This window comes from Homo sapiens, chromosome 13, assembly GCF_000001405.40.
Source record: "Homo sapiens chromosome 13, GRCh38.p14 Primary Assembly".
Lineage (NCBI taxonomy): Eukaryota > Metazoa > Chordata > Mammalia > Primates > Hominidae > Homo > Homo sapiens.
In genome coordinates, this window is record NC_000013.11 from 56,970,489 (window position 1) to 56,977,986 (window position 7,498).

Consider the following 7,498-nt stretch of genomic DNA (forward strand, 5'->3'; position numbering starts at 1 on the left):
ACAGTAATTAATCCATTTATGCTGGAAGTTGCAAATTTTTTTGTGTGAAAAATCAGACCTTGGTGATGACCTTGAGCAGCAGGATATAAATGACTCCCACAACCTTAGCATTCCAATAATGGAACGCTAGGTATAAATGGATTAAGCTTAAACTTTTCTCCCTGCTGGAGGAACCAGTTGCATAAGAATAAGAGATTCTTCTTCAGGCATTTTTAAACTGTTTCTTTTCTTTACCCTTCTCCACCCCATCAGCAGTTAACTTTGGAAGTTTTTTTTTTTTTTTTTTTTTTTTTTTGAGTCAGAGTCTCGCTCTGTCACCCAGGCTGGAGTGCAGTGGCGAGATCTCGGCTCACTGCAACCTCCGCCTCCCAGGTTCACACCATTCTCCTGCCTCAGCCTCCCAACTAGCTGGGACTACAGGCGCCCGCCACCACGCCGGCGAAATTTTTATGTTTTTAGTAGAGACGGGGTTTCACCGTGTTAGCCAGGATGGTCTCGATCTCCTGACCTCGTGATCCACCCGCCTCAGCCTTCCAAAGTGCTGAGATTACAGGCATGAGCCACCGCGCCTGGCCGGAAGTTTTTTTCCCCCTCTTTTAGAAGATGTTTTTACTAGGCCAGGCCCCCCTAATTATCACTGTTAGTACTCTCTGTAAACTTTTGATTGTGAAAAAGGATCTTGTGGGGACTGGGTTTTCTTCTGCCTGCGTGTGTATTGTGTGTAATGTCTGTAAAAATAACTCTAATTAATTTGGCCTAAAGAAAAACAAGTGCTTGGATCAAGTATTTTTTTTTAAGGGAAGTTAAAAGCTGTAGTAACTTTCAGTTTGTGACTTTAATCTTTGAGAAATAAAAACAACCTTAAAGATTATTGGTAAAATGCAGGTGTCATTAAAATGTAAATAGGTGAACTAACCTATGCAGGTAAGATGCAAGGTTTGCTAAGTGTTTTGAGGTTACTAACTGCTTTTTGGGTTTTGAGAACTATTTGACTTGCTAGCTTCACAACTGGTAAGGCCTGGGGAAATATGGAATTAATCATGCCCTTTACTAAGAAGGCAAACCTTGGCCGCAGTGAGCACACAGTTAAAGCAACTTACCAAGTTTTACCTTAAAGTTAAAAATTGCTAGGGGTTAATCGAAACTACTGGGAATAGATTTATATGCAAGGTGTGTAAGAACAGTAAAATGTGTTTTTTAGTAAAAGGTTATAAGGAGGCATAGAAATGTAAATTTTGCCTAGGGTTAAAGAATAGTTTTGAGTTAGACAGGGAAACTGAAGGTTCAAAGAGGTGGAGGAAGAATTGTGGAAATTTATCTCACAGAAGAGGTTCTCTGTGTGAATATATTGACTAAATTAAAAGAAATAAGGTATTATGTGTTTTTTCTGTAAATTGAGCATTGAAATAAAAGCATAACAAGGTTTTCCTAAGGTGCTAATCTGCTCTTTGGCAAAATTTGTGAAGGGTTATAAAAGGCTTTTGCTTCTTTAGAATTTCTGAGTCATCATTTTGGCAAAATACATAACTTACGGTAATCTGGAATTCTATTTTATAATATCAAGTCTTTTTAAAACTTAACATATTTAGTAGCCTTCCCAAAATCAAACTTAAGTTTCAAAATTGTCTTCTCTGGCACCTGACTTTCAGATAGTCCAGAGGGACTTGGAATGTCCAGAAAAAGGAAGTAAGCAGGGTTATTTGACATGGTTAGGTATACGGAATTGCCAAAATGATGCTCAGTCTTCTTTAGGTTATATTTTGGTGAATAATGCTAATATATGTTCCAAAACGGTATGAGATTTTATAAAATTCAAATGTCTGAGTATATGCTATCATTCATAATTAAGATTTTTATGTTAAGTTACTGTAAGCCATGAAGATAACCAAACTTCTTTATCATTGTGTTTTTAACTGTAACTACCCTGGACATTTTGCTATTCACAGATAATTGTTGTCTTGTTTAATCCTTTTCAAAAGATGGTTTATAATAAGCTGTAGGACTCTGATAGGTGCTCTTAAATACAATTTCTGATTGTATTTGAGGCAATCAGGTTTCTGTTAACTTTAGAGATTGTAACATTGGAACAAAGAAAAATGTACAGGACTCATGAAGAGCTGAAATAGTCACAAATATAAAGCAAAACAAGAGTTAACTAAAGGGACTGAACTCAGAAAGCTGAAGCAACCTTTTTGACTTTTGCTTAGAATATTGCTGATCCTTGTTTGTTCTGCAGAGTCAAGGAAATTTATTTTGAACTATTTATAGCCTTTAATAATTAAGTAAGGTATACATCCTGTGATCAAAATTTGGAGCATGTTTGTTTCTCTCTGCCTGGTTCCTCTAGAATTTAGAAACTATCTGTGGATATTCTTAACTTATGGCAGTATAGTTGCTTGTATCAGTGCAATAAGAATCCATTTTTCTTTTGCAACAGGACACGACTGGAGAAAGTGATTATTTTACCAAGTCTTTGACTGGTAGGATATGCTTCCCTTTAAGGAGTCAGTCTCAACTTGTAGAACCAATTAAAGCCCAGTGGGGAAACTGGCCTCATACCCCTGTCTACACAGTCCCTGTATAGGGTTCCTGACCTGTGGTCAGTAAAGAATGTCACTTTCTAACAGGCCTAGGAGTTCCAAGTTTATCTTGGGACCTTATGAGGAGAGGATCACCCAACTCACAGGTATTTCAGGATACAAACCCCTGGCTAGACTGGGCTTTAAAAGGTCTTATCTGGGATTCCTTCAAAAGGTCCTGTCTGTGATTGGGTGCAACCACCGTGCACACAAAGTGTGGAATACGCTTCCATCAAAGCCAATCCAAAAGGCCTAGATAGAAATAATTATTCTTGCTGCACTTTATGAAAATAATCAGGCAAAGTATAAGACTAAAGTATTTTGCAAACCACTCAGCCCTATGATGATTTGTTTTTTTAACAAAAATGAGTCTAGAGAGAGAGAAGTTATGTTTCAAAACTTATCATACATTTGTCATTAAATTCTAAACTCATTAGATGTTTTTAAGTTTTTGCCTACATTTTAGACTAATTCTGCTTGTTCCTGTGAAACAACCAGTAAACTCCAGCTGCAGATCAGAAAGAACAAGAGGGATGAGTAATGTAAAAGTCTGGATCAATATTCTAGTTCTGAGCAATTATCTGGCAAATCCTGCCAGGTGATGGAATAAATAGGGTGCCCATCACCAGAGGTTTCCTTTTTGGGAAAGTAAAACCAAAGGAACTAACTAAGCCATCCACCATGCACCCAAATCCTAGCAAGCTTAACTGTAGCTACCAGTTATCTGGATGTGTCACAAGACATCCTTTCCTCTCCCTTGTTGGAGGAGGACTCAGTTCCACAGTTTCCCTTAGCATTCAGCTTATGATAAGGAGTCCAGGTACCCCACTGAGACACATTTTTATCCCAAACTCAATTTAAAGCTTTGAGTCAAAGCCCTAGGAAGGAAAACTGGATCTGAGAGATCCAAAGGAAGACAATAATGGAAGTTAAAAGGCACAGCACAGGTTAGTGTGGCTGATTCCTGCCAATTAAGCCACCCCCAAGCTTCCTGTTTCATGGATAAATGCCACATTAATATCCATGGCATAAATGAGCTCTAGGGAACTCCAAGGCTACTGACAATAAGGGAGATAGAGGCATAGGTGAGAGCTCATGATAATTCCTATTCTCTAGGCCCTCCCTGCTTCATAGGTACAAACCACTTTGGCACTCATGGCAGGATCTGCCAAGGTCATCGGGACTTGGGGATGCAAAGATGGAAGAAAGAAAGAGGATGCTCTGTCTTCACTACCTCGTGTACCTTGGGTATCTGCTAGGAAGAGGAGACCACGGATGCCTGCTTCCCTCTTTCTAAATGGGTAGCCATTCATTTTCAGTCTCTACCACTTTCCAATGCATCCTGAAGCCCTGGGACTCCAAAAAAAAAAAAACCCTTTTTTGTTTTCTCTCTTCTTCTGTCCTCTCTTCACTGATAGGTAATTGTGTCTTCATACTATTAGACACTCCCCTCAAATGTATCCTCCAAACTAGAGTTACTTTCTCAATCATTAAACTGGTTGGCTTAGTTTAGGATCAGGGGAAGGGAACTCAGAAGCCCAACATATTGGCAATAGGGTAAAGTTTTTTTGCCAGTCGACGTTTTGGCCTCCCTCTCCCTGTGCAAACTGGCAAAAGGTCTTGGGATTTTTGAGCTGTCCTTACCCCTCCCTTTGTTTCGTTTTGATACATGTGTTCTAATAATCTGATTTGTCTGTTCTTGCCTTCAGGCCATCAAACTCCAAACAGTCATACAACCAGAGTTTCTGACGATGGCTTCTTCTGCTGGGAACCCTTAGATAGGTCGCTGAGAGAGCTCTAACTGCCATTTCCCCCAAAACAGCACCCCATGCCAGTAGGAAACAGTTAAAATTGGTCTTCATCCTTATCCTTAATGTAATGGCAGTTAGATATACTTCATTAGAATGGGGAATGAGACAGCCAGATGGGAGGGGGATACTTGGAGAAACTCCAACCAGCCTGCCCACTGAGGTGGAGCCTCTAGAAGTTCACGAAGTATGCAGCAGGGAGGATCCTGGCCCCTCCTCATCCTGTGTGGAAGCTGGGATTCAAACTGCTGGGCAGGAAGTGCTCTAGCAGGCACTCTGGCCTAGCAAGAGTCCCTGTTTCCCCATTTTCTTTCTTTTCATCCAATAAAACCCTGCTTCCGTCACCCTTCAAACCATCTGTGAGCCTAAATTTTTGTGGCTGTGGAATGGACAAGGACCTCGTTTTAGATAATGTAAAAAAAGTTCTGCACAACACCTCCCCTCCTGGCCAATGTCATAGGCTGTTGTTGAGTATCTGTGGCTTTTCCAGGAACACAGAGCAAGCTGTCAGTGGATCTACCATTCTGGGTTCTGGAGGATGGTGGCCCTCTTCTCACAGCTCCACTAGGCAGGGCCCCAGTGGGAACCCTGTGTGGGCGCTCCAACCCCACCTCTCCCTTTCACACTACCCTAGCAGAGGTTCTCCATGAGGGCCTCCCGTCTGTAGCAAACTTCTGCCTGAACATCTAGGGATTTCCATACATCCTCTGAAATCTAGGCAGAGGTTCCCAAACTTCAGTTCTTGATTGCTGTGCACTCATAGGCCCAACATCATGTGCAAGTTGCCAACAGTTGGGGCTTGCACACTCTGAAGCAATGGCCTGAACTGTATGTTGACCCCTTTTAGCCACAGCTAGAGCTGAAACAGCTGGGATGCAGGGCACCACACCATGTTCAGTGGCTGCATAGAGCAAGGAGGCCTTGGGCCCAGCTCATGAAACTTTTTCCCTCCTAGGCCTCCAGACCTGTAATGGGAGGGGTTGCCATGAAGATCTCTGACATGCCCTCGAGACATTTTTCCCATTGTCTTGGTGATTAACATTGGGTTCCTCCTTAGTTATGCAAATTTATGCAGGCTGCCTGATTTTTTTCTTCCCAAAAAATGAGTTTTTCTTTTATACTGCATTGCCAGGTTGCAAATTTTCCAAACTCATTCTCTCACCTCTTGAACGCTTTGCCACTTAGAAATTTCTTCCACCAAATACTCCAAATACTCTCTCTCAAGTTCAAAGTTCCATAGTTCTCTAGGGCAGGGATTAAATGCCACCCGTCTCTTTGTTAAAACCTAGCAAGAGTCACCTTTATTCCAGTTTCCAACAGGTTCCTCATTTCCATCTGAGACCATTTCAACCTGGACTTTATTGTTCATATCACTATCGACATTTTGGTCAAAGCCATTCAACAGGTCTCTAGGAAGTTCCAAGCTTTCTCACATTTTCTTATCTTCCTCTGAGACATCCAAAATGTTCCAACCTCTGCCTGTTACCCAGTCCCAAAGTCACTTCCACATTTTTGGGTATCTTTAGAGCAGCACCCCATTCTACTGGCACCAATTTATTGTATTAGTTTGTTCTCACACTGCTAGTAAAGACATAACCCAAAACTGGGTAATTTATAAAGGGAAGAAGTTTAACTGATTCACAGTTACAGATATTGGGGGGGCCTCACAATCATGGTGGAAAGTGAAGGAGAAGCAAATTACATCTTATATGATGGCAGGCTAAGAGTGTGTGCAGGGGAACTTCCCTTTATAAAACCATCAGATCTCATGAGACTTATTCGCTATCAGAAGAACAGCATGGGGGAAAAAAACACCCTCATGATTCAGTTACCTCCAGCTGGGTCTCTCCCACAACATGGGGAATTATGGGAGCTACAATTCAATATGAGATTTGGGTGAGGACACAACCAAACCATATCGAATAGGAAGGATGTCCTGGAGGGCAGAAACCAGGGTAAAGAAGCAGAGCTGAAAGGTAACGAGAACTACTGCTAGGCTTTAAAACCTAATCAAGGAATTTCCAGTATTCTGCAAGCTAACAACTGCTCTAGACCAGTGGCTACTTTTTTATCTCCAAATTTCCCCTTATTTAAATAATAATTTTAATAGCTGCCATCCTTCATCTATTCTACCACTGTATGATGGAGTGTGTGTGGGTGTGGTGGTAGGGCTTGATGGTGGGCTGCAGCAAATACACGCTAAGATGGGCCCCAATTACCCCTACTTCCTTACATAAGATTCTTCTCTTGATTGTGCGCAAGACCTATGACTTGTTACTAACCAATGTAATATTGATCTTTTTAGTTTAGTTTTGTTTTGCTTTTCCAAATCATAATTTCTCACTTGAGTTGAGTCACTTCTGTTGCTAAGTCTAACTAATGGTTTCTGGTTTAATGTGTTTGGAGAATTATTGTTTATTTTACAATCTACTTGATTATTTTTGAAGTCTTATGATTATTATTTGCTTATTCAGCCTAATGTTTTGTATTGCCAAATGCATTAAATATAATTATTTCCATTCTTGACTTCCAATGTCTTGTTGTAGCACTAATGGTTAGTCTGTTTATTGTCTATTCTTGTTCTTGTTTATGTTGCCTTATTGCTTTATATTTGTGAGCTCCTACCTCTTGGAACATTACGTGTAGGTTTTATTGAGGCCTAAGTTGTAATTGTGTTCCTACACAGGAGATGTGTGATTGCTGCTGGCAGATGCTTGCAGACAATATAATTTCCTTTATTACATTGCAATATATTCATAATTTAAAAATGTAATGACAAGCAAGGAGCATGTATTAGGGCTGAAAACTTGCCTAGAGGCTTGCTTGTGTTTACTAAATCTCTTGGGAGACTTTCCTGTCCATTTAGCAATTTTTTCCAAGCAGTATTTTTTCCTGGAAATCTCCTCAGCAGTGGGCAAGATTATTTATAATTTATACTCAAATTAATGCTCTGGACCATAGGATACCAACTTCTTGCAGGAGGAAGAGAAAAGCTGGAGTCTTGTAACATAGGTAGATGGACCTGCACCAGTTTTCCCTGAGGCCATGAAAAAGAAACTTGAATTTATTCACTTTATCAAATGCCTTCCAGGTAAATGCAAGTCTCTGTCT

At 40.5% G+C, this 7,498-nt stretch overlaps 2 annotated features.

Moving 5' to 3' along the window:
• Positions 4,665–5,166: an enhancer, noted in NCBI's record as "NANOG-H3K27ac hESC enhancer chr13:57549287-57549788 (GRCh37/hg19 assembly coordinates)". NCBI's record gives its function as "activates a minimal SCP1, AML or CMV promoter by ChIP-STARR-seq in primed H9 embryonic stem cells {active_cell/tissue: H9 hESC(primed)}" and the evidence as "EXISTENCE:reporter gene assay evidence [ECO:0000049][PMID:30033119]".
• Positions 5,167–5,666: an enhancer, noted in NCBI's record as "NANOG-H3K27ac hESC enhancer chr13:57549789-57550288 (GRCh37/hg19 assembly coordinates)". NCBI's record gives its function as "activates a minimal SCP1, AML or CMV promoter by ChIP-STARR-seq in naive and primed H9 embryonic stem cells {active_cell/tissue: H9 hESC(naive and primed)}" and the evidence as "EXISTENCE:reporter gene assay evidence [ECO:0000049][PMID:30033119]".